This window comes from Homo sapiens, chromosome 17 (genome assembly GCF_000001405.40).
Source record: "Homo sapiens chromosome 17, GRCh38.p14 Primary Assembly".
Classification (NCBI taxonomy): domain Eukaryota; kingdom Metazoa; phylum Chordata; class Mammalia; order Primates; family Hominidae; genus Homo; species Homo sapiens.
In genome coordinates, this window is record NC_000017.11 from 7040536 (window position 1) to 7059689 (window position 19154).

Genomic DNA, 19154 nt, shown 5'->3' on the forward strand with positions numbered 1-19154 from the left:
CTGCTTCACTGAGCTGTGAATCAACTGTGAAAATCAAAGGCCAAGAGACTTATCATGCTTTATATAACATCTCTAGTGTTGCCTCCTGAGTTTCTTCTCTGAAGGCACATGTTTGGGAAACAAAACTGTCCCTTTGAGATAAAATCAAATAAGAAAATTGGATAATAATCACAACCTCAAAATGAGCTGGGGCCCATATGCTTGGGTTGGCCGAATGGAGTCATGCCTGGAAGTGGAGGAGAGTGTCCAGGAGCTCCGATGACCCAAGGCATTTTAACCCTGGAATCTGCTCTCCAGGCTACCACCACATACCTCCCTCTTCCCCATTATCCCTGTGGCTTAGAAAAGAAATTGAGGGCTGGGCATGGTGGCTCACGTCTGTAATCCCAACACTTTGGGAGGCCGAGGCGGGTGGATCACGAGGTCGGGAGTTTGAGACCAGCCTGGCCAAGATGGTGAAACCCCGTCTCTCCTAAAAATACAAAAATTAGCCGGGTGTGTTGGCGTGTGCCTGTAGTTGCAGCTACTGGGAAGGCTGAGGCAGGAGAACTGCTTGAACCCAGGAGGCGGAGGTTGCTGTGAGCCAAGATCGCGCCACTGCACTCCAGCCTGGGCAACAGAGGGAGACTCTGTCTCAAAAAAAAAAAAAAAAAAAAAAAGAAGGAAAGAAAAGAAATTGAGAGAATGCTGAGGACACAGGGTATAGATGTGTGAATAGCTTTGATAGAGCTGAAGTCTGGGCCTAGGATTCTTGTATTTCCCTCAGGCCCATAGAAGGAGATTGAAATGCAGGGAAGAGTTAAGTCTGGGAGGTCTGGGAACTAGGGTAAGGGACATGAAGATGGGGCAGATAGCACCCACTAGCAACCCGCCCCCAACCCCAGCAACACACTGAAACTGGCTGCCAGACAACTTCGCAAAGATTCCCTGTTACGGCCAGGACTTGGGCAAAGAGAAATGGATTGGCTGGACAGTCACCCTTCTTCATACCCAGGGCCTTCTGGGATCCTGTTCCTTTGAACCAGCCTTTCTGGCTGTCTTATGTAGAATATTTTCAGGGTCCTAGATTGGTGAACAGTTGGAGGTTTCAGGAAAACCCGATAAAAATTCTTTATTGGGGGAGGGGCTCAAACAAGAAAATAATCAACAAGTGGTGTCCAGAGTGGAGCCAGGGCCTCCTGGGGACAGCAAGACTGCCTGGGGAGCGGGAAGCAGCTCCCCCGTCTCTGGGGGAGGCGTGGCTGGAGGGGAGGCTGGACCACAGGAGGGCAGCGCCCTGGGCAACCCTATGTAGATGAAGCTGCCGGAGAGGATCAAAGAACCAGACAGGAGGAAAGAGGCGGTGAAGTCTCCTGTCTCATCCCTTAGGAAGCCTGAGGAGATGGGTAAGGGCATTTAGAAGCCTCGAACCCCAGGGGCAGAGGATAGTTGTAGGCAGATCTGTGAGCTCAGGTCCTTACCTGACAGGGGAGGGCCCAGGAGCCCCCCGAGGCTCATCAGCATCATCACCAGCCCTGTGGCCTGCACCACACCTCCGACGCCCACCAGCCCGGGGAGTACACCGAAAACCAGCGGGGCGTAACTCCCCGCGCTCAGCCCATAGGCCACAGCCGCGGCCAGCAGGGGACCCCCCCAGCTCTCTTCGCCGCCCACCACGGGCACCAGCCCCACCACCCACAGCCCCAGCCCAGTCAGAGCCCCGAATACGGCCAGCAGCCGCGGGAGGGGCACCCAGCCTTGGTCTGCCAGCCACCCGCAGACCAGCCGGGCGCCCGCATCCCCCATCGCAGCCACGGCCACCACCAGCGCTGCTCCGTATCCCCCCAGGCCCCGGTCTAAAGCGTGGGGAGCCAAGTGCACGTAAGGAACGAAGTACCCGCCCCCAACCAGGGCTGTGCCTAGAGCAAAGATTGAGAAGGCCCGGCGTGTGAACAGACTCAGGCCGAGGGCAGCTAGGGGACTACGCGGTGGGGCTGGGGGGTCTCCAGGAAGGACCAGGGGTAGCAGCAGGGCGCCACAGGGGGTGAGGTGGAGGGTGATCGCGCCGAGGAGGAGCAGAGCGCCCCGCCAGCCGAAAGTATCGAGAAGAAGCTGCAAGGCGGGCGCCAGGAGCAGCGAGGAGGCCCCGTTGCCGGTGAGCGCCAGCCCCACCGCCAAGACTCGACGGCGGGAGAAGTAACGCGAGAGGGTGCCTAGGGCGGGGGCGAACACCAGGGCCCAACCAAAGCCTGCGAATGAATAGGAGGGGATGGGGGCCGGCACTGGGGACGCCCGCCCCAGCATTCCCAGCCCGGCTCTCCGCACCAGGCCCCCGCCTCGTTCGCTACCCCAGATCCCAACAAGCTCCTGTCACCTCCTTCACCCTGAATGACCCGGGCATCCCACTTCCCTCACCAGCGAGGAGGCCCAGGCCGAGGTAGAGATGCAGCAGATCGCTGGCGAAAGCCGAGAAGACGAAGCCCAGCGAGGCGAGGACGCCCCCAACCATCACCACGGGGCGGGCCCCCCAGCGCGTGCTCAGGGCGCTGCCCACGGGGCCTGAAAGGGGGCGGAGTCAACGGAAGACACGCCCCCGGGCCCCCAAACTCTCTCCAACACTTCTCATTGGCTGTTTGCCTCCCTCGAACTAATGGTTCTTCTCCTTGACCTCAAGATGCACTCTTTTCTAGAGCCGGTTGCCCTTTCTCAGGTTGTCGGGTAATCAGGTGGGTCTCCCATCCCTCCACTCACGGCTCCTCCTCCCCGTTCCTGTCTCCCGCCTCAGGGCCCCCCTCACTGGCTGCCTGCTGCACGGCCAGGGCCAGGGCGCTGATCCACGCAGTGTCCTGGGCGCTTCGGTCAAAGTGCTCGGCAAGGTCAGGGAAGGCAAGGCCCAGCGAGCGCAGCAGCCCGTAGGACAGCCCGTTTATCGCGAAGGCTGCGGCCGCCACCACCCAGCCCCAGCCCCCATCCGGGGGTCCGGCGGGCTGGGGGGTCATCGCCGTCTGCGGGGTGGGGAAACATCTGTGAGAGAAGCCTCCACGCCTGTGCTTCCGCTGGGGAGCTGGCATCCCTGAGATCCAGCCTCTGGCTGCTCGCCCGGGGTGGGCCCGTCACTCCGAGCGCGATGGCGCGGGGCGGAGGGAGCCGGAGCCTGGCCTAGGGCTGGAACTCCCGGGTCCGCGCGAGGTACGGGGACGGGGACAGCCAGATCCCCAGGCCCGAGGTTCCCCGTCCCACGCACACTCCTTCCCCCTTACCCGACCTCTCCGGGCGGTGCGGGGAGGGGAAGGGTGAGGAAGGGCTGGGCCCGGCTTTCTCTCTGCTTCCCAGGCGGGCGGGGGCCCCGAAGGGGAGCGAGGGCAGCGATGGAGCCCAACTTGGACGGGCTCTCTCGGTAAACAGAGATCACCACAGGGGCCTGAGCCACCTGGGACGCGGGGTGTACGGAGGGCGGGGGCGAGCTGAAACAGCCAATCCGGCAAGCCGCGCGTGAGGCCAGACGCCAGTCCCACGGGGATTGAATTATGTACACACACAACCCCCAGGCCCGGGGGAGGGGGGAGCGGCGAGAAATGAATGCAGAGGGGCCCTGCCCTACTCACACGCATGCACCTGCCGCCTGCTGCGCGCAGGGGAGACACGTGGATTGCAAACCCCAGCGAGCCCAGGGTCCACCGCCAACGCGTGGAAATAGGGATGGTCCCCAAAACCTGAGGGGATGAGTAGTTTTGTTCTCAGGAACGTTGCCGAGGACCAGGTAAATCTCGGATATCAATCAGATCACAGACCTCCACCAAGTGCCAGCTCTGTGCTTAGAATAACAGACCCCCAGGCCGGGCGCGGTGCAAGCCTGTAATCCCAGCACTTTGGGAGGCCGATGTGGGTGAATCACCTGACGTCAGGAGTTCGAGGCCAGCCTGACCAACATGGCGAAACACCATATCTACTAAAAATACAAAAAAAATTAGCCGGGTGTGGTGGCGGGCGCCTGTAGTCCCAGCTACTTGGGAGGCTGAGGCGGGGAATCGCTTGAACCCGGGAGGCAGAAGTTGCAGTGAGCCAAGATCATGCCACTGCACTCCAGCCTGGGTGACAGAGAAAGACTCTGTCTCAAAAATAAATAAATAAACAAAAATAAAATAAATAAAATAAAATAACAGGTCCTCAAGGACAGAGGGATGAAACACGACTCCCTCAATGTGAAGACCTGCAGTGTACCAGGCACCGTTTACACATGCTATCACTTCATCTTATGATAACCCTATGAAGAAGGTGTCGCTTTTCTTTTTTTTTTTTTTTAGATGGAGTTTCACTCTGTAGCCCAGGCTGGAGTACAGTGGCGAGATCTCGGCTCATTGCAACCTCTGCCTCCTAAGTTCAAGCCATTCTCCTGCCTCAGCCTCCTGAGTAGCTGGGATTACGGGCGCCTGCCACCACTCCCAGCTAATTTTTGTATTTTTTAGTAGAGATGGGGTTTCGCCATGTTGGCCAGGCTGGTCTGGAACTCCTGACCTCAGATGATCCGCCCACCTCGGCCTCCCAAAGTGCTGGGATTACAGGAGTGAGCCAACGCGCCTGGCCGATGTCGTGCCTCTTTTATAGATGCAGTAACTGAAGCTCTCAGGGAAAAAATGGTATGGATATTTGAATTTAGGTCTGTCCAACTGTGGACCTACAAGGAGAACAATCCCAGGACTGAAACAAAATCTGGCACAGTTAAGGGAAAGATCCTGGATACAGCTTGAAGCAAACTGCCCTGGAAAGGGTGGAACCATTGCAGGGACAGAAAACTTATGAGTCTAAAATAAGGGGTCACTGGGAATAGAAAGGATTCTTGAGATCAGAATCTCTAAACACTTAGGTTAGAATTTTATTTTTTATTATGTATGTATGTATGTATGTATGTATGTATGTATGTATGTATGTGTGTGTGTATTTATTTATAGAGACAGGGTCTTGTCCAGGCTGAAGTGTAGTACTGCCATTATGGCTCACTGCAGCCTCCACCTCCCAGGCTCAAGCAATACTCCACCTCAGCCTCCCGAGTAGCGAGGACTACAGGCTCCACACCACCATGCCTGGCTAAATTTGTTCATTTTTTTTGTAGAGAGGGGGTCACAGCATGTTGCACAGGCTGGTCTCAAGCTCCTGGACTTAAGCAATCCTTCCACCTCGGACTCCCAAAGTGCTGGGATTACAGTCTACCATGCCTGGCCAGGTTACAATTTTAAAAGCAAAGTAAAAAATCAGGTCATTGAAGCCAGGTATTGATTTTTTGAAAAACTTTATAGAAAATGTCCTTTTTTGATAGGTTGACATTCTTTACCTCAGCTCTTTGAATTCAGAGATGTGTTCTTTGGTTTAATTATTAAACAATATGATAGAACATTCAGCAACTTAAGTTTGGAGCATGCATCCATTGAGCCACATGATGGCAGTGTTTCCTAATTATTGGGAAAGAATCTGCACGTAAAGACAAGAAAAACAGCTTCTTAAGGAGCAAAACTGTAAACATAAAAGACACAGCATGACTATAGGCAATGGCTCTCCATTGCCTATAGACGGGAAAAATTACATTTCTCTATTTGTACAGGTCTTTTACAATAATCAAAGGTAGACCTAGGTTACCGTTCCAAACCATCTCCCCTCTCTCCCTTTTGCCAGCCTCCCATCAGCCACTGTCTTCTCTGCTCTGTGGACATGCCTAGCTTTTTCTCACTCCTTAATTTTTGCATATGTCATGCTCTCTGCTTGAAACGTCCTGTTGTTCATGAAGGTCCTGACAGACACACCTTAGGAAAGTGGCCCCACCGGTTTCCCCAGCCTGGAGTGCTGTTATGAAAGCCACCAGGGAGGCGGAGCCAGCAGGTCCTCAGCTACCGGGGAGGGCAGGGATCCCGCTTCCTGAGAAGGCTGCTGAAGACTCTGCTCCAAGCTAAACGAATCACTGTCTCCCCATGGTGACGCAGAAATGCAGGACAGTCAGAGCGAAGACCGGGCCCTCCGCATCTGGGAGTTGTGCTAAGTGATGCTGCGCACCTTCGCAGGATGCTTACGAAGCCAGAAGGGTATCCCAGAGCCTGGGACTAGGGCTGTGAAAGAGCACATTCCTCTTCTACCTCAGGCTCCCTATATTCTTAGCAAAACTTGTCATCTTTTGCTCACGGAGGTAAAATAGCACAGAGATTAGGAGAATGGACTCCCAAGCTAGATTTCTTGAGGTTGAATGCCAGCTCTACTGTAGGGTCTAGCCCTACGGGGCTTGGCGGGTGTTTTCCCCGTGTGCGGAGATGAGAGATTGTAACAAATAAAGACACAAGCCAAAGAGATAGAAGAAAAGACGCTGGGCCCTGGGAACCACTACCATCAAGACGCGGAGACCGGTAGTGGCCCCGAACGGCTGGTTGCGCTGATATTTATTGCATACAAGACAAGGGGGCAGGGTAAGGAGGGTGAATCTTCTAAGTGATTGACAAGGTGCAGCAAGTCACGTGATCACAGGACGGGAGGGCCCTTCCCTTTTAGGTAGCCGAAGTAGAGACAGAAGGCAGCATACGTCAGCGTTTTCTTCTATGCACTGATAAGAAAGATCAAAGACTTTAGACTTTCACTATTTCATCTACCGCTCTGTACTACGAACTTCAAAGAGGAACCAGGAGTACGGGAGGAACATGAAAGTGGACAAGGAGCGTGAGCATTGAAGCACAGCCCCACAGGGAGGGGTTTAGGCCTCCGGATGACTGCGGGGAGGCCTGGATAATATCCAGCCTTCCACAAGAAGCTGCTGGAGCAGAGTGTTCCCTGACTCCTCCAAGGAAAGGACACTCCTTTTCGCGATCTGCTAAGTGATGGGTGTCTTCCCAGGCACTAGCGTTACCGCTTGACCAAGGAGCCCTCAAGCGGCCCTTATGCGAGCGTGACAGAAGGTTCACCTCTTGCCTTCTAGGTCACTTCTCACAATGTCCCTTCATCACCTGACCCTATACCTGCCGGTTATTCGTAGGTTATATTAGTAATGCAACAAAAAGTAATATTAAAAGCTAATGATTAATAATGTCTATAATAATGATTGATAATTGTCCATGATCATCTCTATATCTCATTTGTATTATGACTATTTTTATTCTATTTTCTTTATTACACTGAAACAGTTTGTGCCTTCAGTCTCTTGCCTCGGCATCTACGTAATCTTTCGCCCACACTCTACCACTTAGTAACTATATGATTATGAGCAAGTGTGACTCAACCTCTCTGTGCCTCGGTTTCCTCATCTCTACAATGGGGGTAATAACAGTAGCTACCTGATGGGTTGTTATAAGAATTAAATGAGTCACTGTGAATACACATATAAGTAAGGAACTTAGAACAGTGCCAAAGTATACGTGTTAGAGCTCATTGCCGCTATTTTCTTTCTTTTTTTTTTTTTTTCTTTTTTTTTTGAGACAGAGTCTTGCTCTATTGCCCAGGCTGGAGTGCAGTGGTACAATCTAGGTTCACCACAACCTCTGCCTCCCAGGTTCAAGTGAATTCTCCAGCCTCAGCCTCCCAGGTAGCTGAGATTACAGGTGCCCGCCACCACACTCAGCTAATTTTTTTGTATTTTTATTAGAGACGGGGTTTCACCATATTTGCCAGGCTGGTTTTGATCTCCTGACCTTAAGTAATCCACCTACCTCAGCCTCCCTTAGTGCTGGGATTACAGGTGTGAGCCACCGCGCTCAGCCTCCATTGCCGCTATTGCTGTGAGTTGAGGAACCTGGCTGGACCTAACAGCACGGCAGCCCTTTCCCACCTGGCTACCTCTGCCCATGCCTCAAGGTCAAGGCACCACATTGCCCTGGTAAGTTCTCAGTAGAGCCACATGGGTTAGAAAATGTGAATGGCTATAAAGAGATTCAATGGAAATTTCTGCTTTTCTTCTTTCTTTTCCCTTAGCATTTTCCAAAGTTTGTGTGAAAATGCTGGTCTCCCTGCCTTAACTCTAAAAACAAAAGAGAAGGCCGGGCGCAGTGGCTCACACCTGTAATCCCAACACTTTGGGACGCCAAGGCAGGTGGATTACCTGAGGTCGGGAGTTCAAGACCAGCCTGACCAACATGAAGAAACCCCGTCTCTACTAAAAATCCAAAATTAGCCAGGCGTAGTGGCAGGCGCCTGTAATCCCAGCTACTCGGGAGGCTGAGGCAGGAGAATTGCTTGAACCTGGGAGGCAGAGGTTGCCGTGAGCCGAGATCGCGCCATTGCACTCCAGCCTGGGCAACAAGAGCAAAACTCCATCTCAAAAATAAAAATAAATAAAAAATAATAGAGAAGAAAAAAGTCAAAATAAGTTTTATTCATTCAGTCCTTCATACAAAATATTTATAGACAGCTACCGCGTGCCAGCTGCTATGCTTAGGGTTCGGGATACAAATGTGAATAAGATATAGTCTCTCCCCTCCCAGCCCCACAATCAAATCAGAGGATCATCACATAAAGAAAAGAATTCTCAGCACAAGGACGGGGACACATACACCGTAGAGTGGTGCATGGGAAGAACTGACTCATTCCTCTTAGGACTGCTGGGAGGCTTCACAGAAGAGGAGCCCCTTGGGCTGGGTCTTGAAGGATGAGTAGGAGTTTGCCAGATGGATCTGTGGGCAGGGGCGTTCCAGGCAAAGGAAGCAGCTTGTGGAAAATCACAAAGGCATGAACCAGCTTGGCACATTGTTTATTGTTTGGGGAGCTATAAATAGCCGCTGTGTGGAGAACCGAGCATGTGTAGGAGGATAATGTAGGATTAAGCTGCTGGGCAGAGGGTCCCGTCTGAAAGGCCTTGAAGGCCAGGCTAAGGATATTCCTCCAGAGGCTGATACTACTCCAAAATGTCCAATGAAGTAGCACTCACTAATACTCACTAATAATGGAAGCTGAATACAGAGGAGAGATGAGTCATGCCACAATCAGAGGCGCAAGGAGAGTTCGCCTTTTGCATGTGGGAAATTTCTTTGAAATATCTTGTTTTATGTTAAAAATTCATGCAGAATTTTTCATTCTACTTTTTTTGTTTGTTTGTTTGTTTTTGTTTTGTTTTGTTTTGTTTTTGAGACCGAGTCTCTCTCTGTTGCCCAGGCTGGAGTGCAGTGGCACAATCTCGGCTCACTGCAAGCTCGGCCTCCCGGGTTCAGGCCATTCTCCTGCCTCAGCCTCCCGAGTAGCTGGGACTACAGGCACCCACCACCACGCCCGGCTAATTTTTTGTATTTTTAGTAGAGACGGGGTTTCACTGTGTTAGCCAGGATGGTCTCGATCTCCTAACCTCGTGATCTGCCCGCCTCGGCCTCCCAAAGTGCTGGGATTACAGGCGTGAGCCACTGTGCCCAGCCCGATTTCTGGAATTCTCACACACAAAGATGCCAAAGGTGAGTGATGAATCACTGAATGAGAGAAACATTGAACAAAGGAGTCATTGAATGAGTGGACTCCGTGCCTGGTGCTCCACAGAATGCAGCAGTGGTACAGGAAAGAGTCGCAGATGGACCAAACCACGAAGGCCTGCCCATGTGGGGACAGCCCTCAAAGCAGATGCTGAGCTAGATGAAGTCTATAGGGAGATCGTAAAAGAGTGTCAAGCATGGCACATCATTTGCTTTGGGGACCACAGGATCTGGGAATGCGTCCATGTTTGCAAACTCTAAAACTGCTCTGGGGCTTTTTCATGGGAACTCCTGCCGGAGGTTCTCGGGGCCTCTGGAGTCTGCAGCCTCAGGGAAGCCCTGAACTAAGCCCCTCTATTTCCCAGCACCCCCACCAAGGGGCTCCCGCTGCAGAAGGTGGACAGGGAGGGAGGCGGGCAGGCAAGAGTGAGTGGCGTTACCCACAGGAAACATTCCTCTATTTGGGGTGCTCAGAAATATGAGGCTCTACACTGCTTGGCTCAGCTGATCTTGGGTTGTTTTTTGAGACTGATTTTCACTCTTGTTGCCCAGGCTGGAATGCAATGGCATGATCTCGGCTCACCACAATCTCAGCCTCCCGGGTTCAAGCGATTCTCCTGCCTCAGCCTCCCAAGTAGCTGGGATTACAGGCATGTGCCACCACGCCTGACTAATTTTGTATTTTTAGTAGAGATGGGGTTTCTCCATGTTGGTCAGGCTGGTCTCGAACTCCCAACCTCCAGTGATCCGCCTGCCTCAGCCTCCCAAATTGCTGGGATTACAGGCATGAGCCACTGCGCCTGGCCTGGGTTTCTAAGACCTAATAGAGCTGCCTCTCACCCCTCACCCCCCAGAATGCCCTCTTCCCTGGATCACCCAGAGACCAGGCCGTGGAAAGTCAGCGTAGATCTAAAGCCCACACCAGGGCCTGGAAAAGTGGGAGAAGCACACGACCTGCAGAGGGGATAAGGACACAAAGGTCAGGGTTTGTGGCTCAGGGCCAGGTAGCACGTCGCTGAGATGCTCTGAAATGGGGAGTGGGTCATTGAAGCAGGAGGCCAGGGGCTCCTTGTGTATCGGGAACAAGTCTGCTTGGACGACCATATCAACTGGAAGAAGGGAGATGGAGCCGAGTCTCCTGAGCCTTCCTTGTGTGGGGACTGAGACTGCGGTAGGACTTTGCTGAGTCTGAGGCTGTGGGGAAGCTGGTAATAGGGTTGAGGGGGCACAGATGAGACAGAGCTAAGGCTGGAGCTGGATTGGAGCCAAGGCCTTGGATGGGCTGGGAATCCTACCTCACATTACTCTTCTTTCTTTCTCTTTCTTTCTTTCTTTCTTTTTTTGAGACAGAGTCTCACTCTGTCACCCAGGTTGGAGTGCAGTGGCATGATCTCGGCTCACTGCAACCTCCACCTCCCAGGTTCAAGCAATTCTCCTGCCTCAGCCTCCCAAGTAGCTGGGATTATAAGAGCTCACCACCACGTCCGGCTAATTTTTGTGTTTACATTACTCCTTTCTTATACCCTCTACCAAATCTGTCTCCAGTGCCTTTTCCAATCCAGGCCTCATCCCTTCCCTCTGTCGTCACCATCCCCTTCCCACCCTATTACATGTTGGGGGTCTGGAGGACCTGATTCCTGGGTCTCTCTGGACAGCCCAGAATCCAGGACAGGGGATCAGGGACAGTAGGGGAAAGTGCCCAGCTAAAGGCTCTGCACCTGGTCTGTGTCTAAATCTCCAAACGTGTTTTATTTTGTTTTGTTTTGTTTTTTTGAGACGGAGTCTCGCTCTGTTGCCCAGGCTGGAGTGCAATGGTGTGATCTTGGCTCACTGCAACCTCTGCCTCCCGGGTTCAAGTGATTCTCCTTCCTCAGCCTCCCAAGTAGCTGGGATTACAGGTGCCCGCCACCATGCCTGGCTAATTTTTGTATTTTTAGTAGAGATGGGGTTTCACCATGTTGGCCAGGCTGGTCTCAAACTCCTGACCTCAGGTGGTCCGCCCACCTCAGCCTCCCAAAGTGTTAGGATTACAGGCGTGAGCCACCGTGCCCAGCCTAAATGTGTCTTACCTGGCATATTCTATTAACAGTCTGGGACTTTGGCCAACATCTGTATCAAAGTTGTGAGTCGTAAGCCATGGGCACTAACTCTGACTTATTTAAGGAAAGAAATGATTTATTACAGGATACTGCGTAGTTCACAAAATCACCAAGAAACCTACAGAGCCAAGATTGGCAGAAGCAGAGGCCACGAGCCTATAATGGGTTGCTAAAGCCGCTGTTATCACCACAGGACACTAGATGTCGCTGCTGGCAGCCCTCTGTGACCACTGGGCCTGGAAACAGCTGCTGCTCCTCGGACGTGTTCTCTGCTTCTGGGCCCTCAAATCTAAGTCCAGTGATCCTGACCACCGGAACCTAGGCCACGTGCTTTCATCCTAGCTGGAAGGGGTGGCAGGAAGAGTGAGAACCTAGTGCTTTCAGTGTCTATAGACAGATGGGTTCTGCCTCCCTTCAAAAATAATAAGGTGGGCCTGGGCACGCGGTGGCTCACGCCTGTAATCCCAGCACTTTGGGAGGCCGAGGCAGGTGGATCACCTGAGGTCAGGAGTTTGAGACCAGCCTGGCCAATATCGCAAAACCCCACCTCTACTAAAAGTACAAAAATTATCCAAATGTGGTGGCACGCATCTGTAATCCCAGCTACTTGGGAGGCTGAGGTGGGAGAATCGCTTGAACCAGGGAGGCAGAGGTTGCAGTGAGCTGAGATCGCGCCACTGCATTCCAGCCTGGATGATGGGGTGAGACTCCATCTCAAAAAAAAAACTAATAATAATAAGGTGGAAATTTTCTTAAAGGCTTCAGATGCAAGAAGGCCAAAAATATCCTAAAACTGTGTAAGCCCAACTAAAATGGATTATTAGAATAGGAATGAGAATCCAATCGGACCTGGTGATTTTTTTTTTTTTTTTTTTTTTTTTTTGAGATGGAGTCTCCTCTGTCGCCCAGGCTGGAGTGCAGTGGCACGATCTCGGCTTACCACAACCTCCGCCTCCCGGGTTCCAGCGATTCTCCTGCCTCAGCCTCCTGAGTAGCTGCGACTACAGGCACCCGCCACCATGCCCGGCTAATTTTTGTATTTTTAGTAGAGACGGGGTTTCACCATATTGGCCAGGCTGGTCTCGAACTCCTGACCTCGTGATCCACCCACCTCGGCCTCCCAAAGTGCTGGGATTACAGGCATGAGCCACTGTGCCCAGCCAGACCTGGTGAGTTATTAAAAGCACAGTCCCTGAGTTCCGACTCCCACCATTTCCAGGCATCTATAAAAAGGGGGCAATGCTTCAAAGGATTGTTGGTGAGACTTCAGTGAAGTAAAGCTTGGGAAGGACCCAGCACAACTCCAGGCACAGGGCAGGCGTCCTACAAATGTAGGTTCCCATCCATTTCATTCCATCCCATTTTCTAGCCACCGGTAGCCACCCTTTCATCTCTACGCCAGTCCAATTCTACTCCAAGTCACTATGCCCCTCCTGTCTGGATTTGTGAGGGGCAGTCAGACCAGAAGGGGCCAGAAGGTGATATTTGTCATCTCCCTGCTGCTATACCAACCTCTCAGCTACCTGAGTTTTTTGGGTCCCTTTGTCTGCCTTCCCAGCCTCAGCCTGAGACCTGGGCATCTGACTTGAAGGATGCAGGCTCTTAGTGGACATGGTAACCCACATCAGCCCTTAGGGCTGCAGCAGCCCTGCCTGGCCAGAGTCTCTACCTCCCCAAGGAATATCAACCAGGACCAGAAGCCAAGGCAGGAGGGGACAGGAGGTCAGATAACAGGTTTTCTGCAGGGATGTAAATTACACATCTTGGAGGATCTGACATATGCAAGGCAGAGTTTTGGGGGCCCAGTAAGCAAATGGTGCCTGTTTTCTTGCCCCAAGGCAGAAATGCCTTTGTGAACACTGGGAGGAGTCGCGTGGGGGCTAAGCCCTGAGAAAGTCCCAAAGTCATAGAAGGGCCCAGACGCTGAAGAGGCTGCAACTGGCTGCAGTGGATGCCACACAAGCCTCTTCCTGTCCTTGTGCAGGTGGATCTTGTCCCTCCCAGTGCGTTCCTTTCTGTACCTCTTGTTGGCCATGAATCTCCTTTGCCCCTGCCCACATCTCCATGCCATTTCCTCTGCAAAGCTTTCTCCTGCCTCTCCCCTACTGTCAAAACGTTTTAAATGCTGGGCAGCATCTCTTCTTTAGGGTTCCTTCCCTCTATCCCATTCAAAGAGCCATACCCAGCTTTAGCTACCTCCATCTCAAGCTTTCATCCTATCTTTCTCTCCTCCATTCACAATCAGGAGTCCCTTGCAATGAGACCGATTCTGGTTTAAAACACATTTGTGAGGGACGGGTGTCATGGTCTCACCTGGAGGGAAATCACACCTGCACAGGCCTACAGAGAGGTGAGGCGGGGCCTCGGGCATCTCATCAACTGGGTACGTAGAAAGAGGACTCTGATTTTTTTTTTTTTAGATGGAGTCTCATTCTGTCACCCAGGCTGGAGTGCAGTGGCGCAATCTCTGCTCACTGCAACCTCCGCCTCCCAGGTTCAAGCAATTCGCCTGCCTCAGCCTCCCGAGTAGCTGGGATTACAGGCACATGCCGCCATGCCCGGCTAATTTTTTGTATTTTAGTAGAGACAGGGATTCACCGTGTTACCCAGGCTGGTGGTGAACTCCCAAGCTCAGGTAATCCACCTGCCTCGGCCTCCCAAAGTGCTGGGATTACAGGCTTAAGCCACCATGCCCGGCCGAGCACCCTGATTTATGGGTAATCAGCTTCCCCTTCCCTGGGCCCAGGGATCTGGGAGATAGGAAGTTGATGCCACCGCCCCAAGAGCTGATGTTTCAGGACTGTGGCCAGTGAGTGCTGAACACAGTGAGCAGCAGAGTGGGCTGACACCTGAGCTCCAGGACTCATAAAGCCCCGCTGTTCTTGCATGGCATGTGGTTTCTGGGTTTATTTCCCTGTTGTCCTTGAGGAGAGTATATTTATTCCCTAAGTATGCAGGGCTTAGGGCTAAAAGCATTCCCCATGCTTACAGAAATGCTAGGGATATGAAAAAGTGTACCGATTTCCAAATACAAAAGGCAAACTTAAAAATCTAAAGTAATGAATATTAAAGCGTTTTTAAAAATGTCTACAAAACATAATATTAGTCCATTTCTTTGTTAAATTTCATGTTCCTAAATTTTCATTACATTGGAAAACAATTTGAAGCTTTTTTTCACTTTGCAGGATTTCCTAAATGTTTATCGTGATTGCTGAGAAATCAGAGCCAATCATAGATTCACTGAGTTTCTTATAGACAAACAATCCTTTAAAAGAATAAACGTCCTTTTAAGATTTTAAACGGCAAAAAATCTTAGAAATCTTTTAAATTTTTGGGCCGGGCACGGTGGCTCACGCTTGTAATCCCAGCACTTTGGGAGGCCGAGGTGGGCGGATCACGAGGTCAGGAGATCGAGACCATCCTGGCTAACAGGGTGAAACCCCATCTCCACTAAAAACACAAAAAAATTAGCCGGGTGTAGTGGCGGGCACCTGTAGTCCCAGCTACTCGGGAGGATGAGGCAGGAGAACGGAGTGAACCCAGGAGGCGGAGCTTGCAGTGAGCAGGGATCGCACCACTGCACTCCAGCCTGGGCGACAGAACAAGACTCCGTCTCAAAAAAAAAAAAAAGAAATCTTTTAAATTTTTAATTGTAAAAATATATTTAGTGTGGAATGTGAGTGTATTTTAGTATATGTTATTAAGAGGCAACATAACATGGTGGGACAAACACGAACCCTGGAACCAGATTGTCTGGGTTCAAGCCCTGGCTTTGGTACTTACTGGCTATATAACCTAGAGCAAGTTATTCAACCTCTCTTTGCAATAGTTCCCTCATCCCCAAAGCAAATTATAATAGTTCCTACTTTTGAGGAAAAAAAAGATGGTAATTGCTATGATCTTAATGTTTGTGCCTCTCCCCGTCAAATTCATATGTTGAAATCTAATCCCAGGCCGGGTCCGGTGGCTCACGCCTGTAATCCCAACACTTTGGGAGGCCGAGGTGGGCGGATCACCTGAGATCAGGAGTTCGAGATCAGCCTGACCAACATGGAGATACTCTGTCTCTACTAAAAATACAAAAAAATTAGCCGGGCACGGTGGCACATGCCTGTAATCCCAGCTACTCGGGAGGCTGAGGCAGGAGAATTGCTTAAACCTGGGAGGCGGAGGTTGTGGTGAGCCGAGATCATGCCATTGCACTCCAGCCTGGGCAACAAGAGCGAAACTCCATCTCAAAAAAAAAAAAAAAAAATCTAGTCCCCAATGCGAAGTATTAAGAGGTGGGTCCTTTAGGAGGTGACTGAGGCCTTCATGAGGATGAAGACCTTGTGAATGAGATTGAGTGCCCTTATGAAAGAGGCCTGAGGCAGCCTGTCCACTCCTTCTGCCCTGTGAGGACACAGCTAGAAGGTGCCATCTATGAGAGCAAGCCCTTACCAAACACCAAATCTTCTGGCTTCCCAGCTTCCAGAAATGTGAGCAATAAATTTCTGTGGTTTTTGTTTGTTTTTCAGAGATGCGTCTCACTTTGTTGCCCAGACTGCTCCTGGCCTCAAGCAGTTCTCTCACCGCAGCCTCCAGAGCTGCTGGGATTACAAGCATAAGCCACCACACCTGGCTCAAATTTCTGTTGCTTATAAATTAATAGTTTAAGGTATCTTGTTATAGCAGCCCGAATGAGTTAAGACAATAATGATAGTACCTTGTTACTATTAGCACGACTTCTTAGGAATGTTGAAAGGATTAAAGGAGTTAATATTTGTACAGTTTTTTTTTTTTTTTTGAGACGGAGTCTCGCTCTGTCGCCCAGGCTGAAGTGCAGCGGCGCGATCTCGGCTCACTGCAAGCTCCGCCTCCCGGGTTCACGCCATTCTCCTGCCTCAGCCTCCCGGAGTAGCTGGGACTACAGGTGCCCGCTACCACGCCCGGCTAATTTTTTGTATTTTTAGTAGAGACGGGGTTTCACCGTGTTAGCCAGGATGGTCTCGATCTCCTGACCTCGTGATCCGCCCGCCTCGGCCTCCCAAAGTGCTGGGATTACAGGCGTGAGCCACCGCGCCCGGCCTATTTGTACAGTTTTTGGAACAATTCCTAGCAAGAAGTAAGGGCTATTTAAGGGTATGTTTTTTTGTTTTTTGTTTTTTTTTTGAGACAGGGTCTCACTCTGTCACCCAGGCTGGAGTGCAGTGGTGCCATCTTGCCTCACTGCAACCTCTGCCTCCCAGATTCAAGCAATTCTCCTGCCTCAACCTCCCAAGTAGCTGGGATTACAGGTGCCCGCCACTACCGCCCAGCTAATTTTTGTGTTTTTCATACAGACGGGGTTTCATCATCTTGGCCAGGCTGGTCTCAAACTCCTGACCTTGTGATCCACCAGCCTCGGTCTCCCAAAGTGCTGGCAAACTCCTGACCTCGTGAGCCACTACACCCGGCCACTTTTACATTTTTTTATACAGATGGGGGTCTCACTTTTTTCCCCAGGCTGGTGTCAAACTTCTGGCCTCAAGCAATCCTCTCACCTCGGCCTCCCAAGGTGCTGGGATTACAGGTGTGAGCCGCTATGCCTGGTGGAGCGTCTTTTATAAGGTCATAATCCCATTCATGAGTCCCCCATTCTCATGACCTCGTCGCCTCCCAAAGGCTCCACCTCCAAATACCATCACATTAGGCTTTAGGAGTTAACATATACATTTGGGGGACAGGGAAACACAGACACATTCAGTCTTTGGCATCCCACATATCAATAAAACTAGAGCTAGGAATGCTCCAAAATTAGCTTATCAGTGTCTCAATAACATCATCAAAGACTAAGGTTCTTCCCACATTTTCAGTCTATCCCCTCAGTGTTTTAGCTTTTTCCTCGTAAGGTTGCAACGTGGTTACTGCAGTTTCAGATATGGCATCTAGGCATAACCAAGTGCAGAGGAAAATGAGCACGTCTCTTCCAGTGTGTGCCCCTTAGCACCAAGGATCTTTTATCCTACAGCCCCCAGCAGACAGCCCCTCGGCCATTGACAGAATTATGCCGTATGTCTATGATTAAACCAGCCACTGACAAGGGGGAAGGTTCCACCATGATTGACTTACTTTCATCAGGTCCTGCCTCTAGGACTAGGCTGGAGCCACCCTCACCTGAAGGTTATACTGTACCTACATTGCTGTTGTAGAATAACATAAATTCCTAAACACCAGTTGGGGTCAGTTAAGAGAGGACAAAGCTATAGTCAATGTTGCATAGAAAACCAAGAGTGGTTTGTTTTGTTTTGGTTTGTTTTAGACAGAGTCTCGCTCTTGTTGCTGAGGCTGGAGTGCAATGGTGCGATCTCTGCTCACTGCAACCTCCGCCTCCCGAGTTCAACCAATCCTCCTGCCTCAGCCTCCCGAGTAGCTGGGATTACAGGCACCCGCCACCACGCCCAACTCATTTTTTGTATTTTTAGTAGAGATAGGGTTTCACAATGGCCAGGCTTGTTGCGAACTCCTGACCTCAGGTGATCCACCCTCCTCGGCCTCCCAAAGTGCTGGGATTACAGGCGTGAGCCACCGCGCCCGGCCCAAGAGTGTTGACTAAACCATCTAGAACTCCCTGTTGGTGCCTGAAGGGGACTATTCTTGGGAATCTGGTGAGGTTTTTTTGTTTATTACTAGTAATGTGATTTGTTCTGATTTTTACCAGCAATTCCTCCCTCCCCCACTAAACATACACTGCCCAAGGGGCAAGAAGAAACACCTACACTGTGTGTGAAGAACCTGGCATTCTGTCATATCTGGCATGGGCATCAATGGTCCATAGGCATCAATGTAGCAGCAATGAATGAATGTGTATCTCTCTTCCCCAGCCTAGATGACTACAGCTCAATTCTAACTGGTCTTCCTGCACAATGTGGATTCCACAATGTTGATAGAACCAGCTTCTAGGTTCAGGAAGGAAACCAGGCTGATTCTCAGGCAGGAGGAGGCAGAGTACGTATGACTCAATCCCTCTTTGCCTTTAATGAAAGTGACGGAGAAGATTTTCCGCTTAAGAAGGAGGATACCCTGAGAATTTATAAAAGCCTGAAGAGCAGTCGTGGAACACAGAGGACAGCAAAGGCAAGAGAGGGGTGATTCCAGTTCCTTACGTCGAGAAGTAGAGACCTGCCTCTACCTCAGTATTTGCTCTGATTGGATGTTGTGAACTGGTAAAGATTTCTGGATTAATGTGAGTGGTCAGAGGGCAGGGGAGCATAATGGCAAATGAGGTCACTTCCTATTCACTCATGTCCCTCTGATAGAGGGACAGAACCCAAATGTAGCTCAACAGTTTTGCTGATGTATGGGAACAATTCCTTTCAGTTTTTTTGCAACTGCCATCTAAACAGTTTTTCTACAGACGTCCAAGGCAGTCTCATCTCATTCTGTTCCTTGTGAGCTTCTGGAACAGAATTACTCCATTCCTAGTCTCAGTTCATCATGGTCAAGGTATAAAACTGGAGAGCTGGCCAGGCATGGTGGCTCACGCCTGTAATCCCAGCACTTTGGGAGGCCAAGGTGGGCAGATCATGAGGTCAGGAGATCAAGACCATCCTGGCTAACACGGTGAAACTCCGTCTCTACTAAAAATACAAAAAGTAGCCAGCCATGGTGGCGGGCACCTGTAGTCCCAGCTACTCGG

General features: G+C 51.0%; 1 protein-coding gene and 1 long non-coding RNA gene across 4 annotated transcripts, besides 7 other annotated features; one reads left to right on the forward strand and one right to left on the reverse strand.

Annotated features, from left to right (window-relative positions):
- Positions 1 to 1085: 1085 nt before the first annotated feature.
- On the reverse strand, positions 1086 to 3557 carry SLC16A11 (solute carrier family 16 member 11). Of its 3 annotated transcripts, NM_001370549.1 has the most exons (5): positions 3240 to 3557; positions 2777 to 2984; positions 2395 to 2538; positions 1461 to 2228; positions 1086 to 1373 (listed from the first exon to the last, which is right to left on the reverse strand). In NM_001370549.1, exons 2-5 carry the CDS (start codon positions 2976 to 2978, stop codon positions 1144 to 1146), a joined length of 1344 nt encoding a protein of 447 aa, NP_001357478.1. In that variant the 5' UTR covers positions 2979 to 2984; positions 3240 to 3557; the 3' UTR covers positions 1086 to 1143. The 3 variants fall into 3 exon arrangements, with proteins under 3 accessions (NP_001357478.1, NP_001357482.1, NP_699188.2); NM_001370553.1 differs by having other exon boundaries at positions 1086 to 2228; NM_153357.3 differs by having other exon boundaries at positions 2777 to 3557.
- Positions 1434 to 1503: a silencer, noted in NCBI's record as "silent region_8082". NCBI's record gives its function as "represses an Ori minimal core promoter by ATAC-STARR-seq in GM12878 lymphoblastoid cells {active_cell/tissue: GM12878}" and the evidence as "EXISTENCE:reporter gene assay evidence [ECO:0000049][PMID:35858748]".
- Positions 1614 to 2003: a silencer, noted in NCBI's record as "silent region_8083". NCBI's record gives its function as "represses an Ori minimal core promoter by ATAC-STARR-seq in GM12878 lymphoblastoid cells {active_cell/tissue: GM12878}" and the evidence as "EXISTENCE:reporter gene assay evidence [ECO:0000049][PMID:35858748]".
- On the forward strand, positions 2532 to 7045 carry LOC124903909 (uncharacterized). Its single transcript, XR_007065598.1, has 2 exons — positions 2532 to 2705; positions 5647 to 7045. It is a non-coding gene; the product is annotated as an uncharacterized LOC124903909 (long non-coding RNA).
- Positions 2904 to 2963: a silencer, noted in NCBI's record as "silent region_8084". NCBI's record gives its function as "represses an Ori minimal core promoter by ATAC-STARR-seq in GM12878 lymphoblastoid cells {active_cell/tissue: GM12878}" and the evidence as "EXISTENCE:reporter gene assay evidence [ECO:0000049][PMID:35858748]".
- Positions 3034 to 3163: a silencer, noted in NCBI's record as "silent region_8085". NCBI's record gives its function as "represses an Ori minimal core promoter by ATAC-STARR-seq in GM12878 lymphoblastoid cells {active_cell/tissue: GM12878}" and the evidence as "EXISTENCE:reporter gene assay evidence [ECO:0000049][PMID:35858748]".
- Positions 6246 to 6315: an enhancer, noted in NCBI's record as "active region_11597". NCBI's record gives its function as "activates an Ori minimal core promoter by ATAC-STARR-seq in GM12878 lymphoblastoid cells {active_cell/tissue: GM12878}" and the evidence as "EXISTENCE:reporter gene assay evidence [ECO:0000049][PMID:35858748]".
- Positions 6376 to 6445: an enhancer, noted in NCBI's record as "active region_11598". NCBI's record gives its function as "activates an Ori minimal core promoter by ATAC-STARR-seq in GM12878 lymphoblastoid cells {active_cell/tissue: GM12878}" and the evidence as "EXISTENCE:reporter gene assay evidence [ECO:0000049][PMID:35858748]".
- Positions 6516 to 6565: an enhancer, noted in NCBI's record as "active region_11599". NCBI's record gives its function as "activates an Ori minimal core promoter by ATAC-STARR-seq in GM12878 lymphoblastoid cells {active_cell/tissue: GM12878}" and the evidence as "EXISTENCE:reporter gene assay evidence [ECO:0000049][PMID:35858748]".
- Positions 7046 to 19154: the final 12109 nt, after the last annotated feature.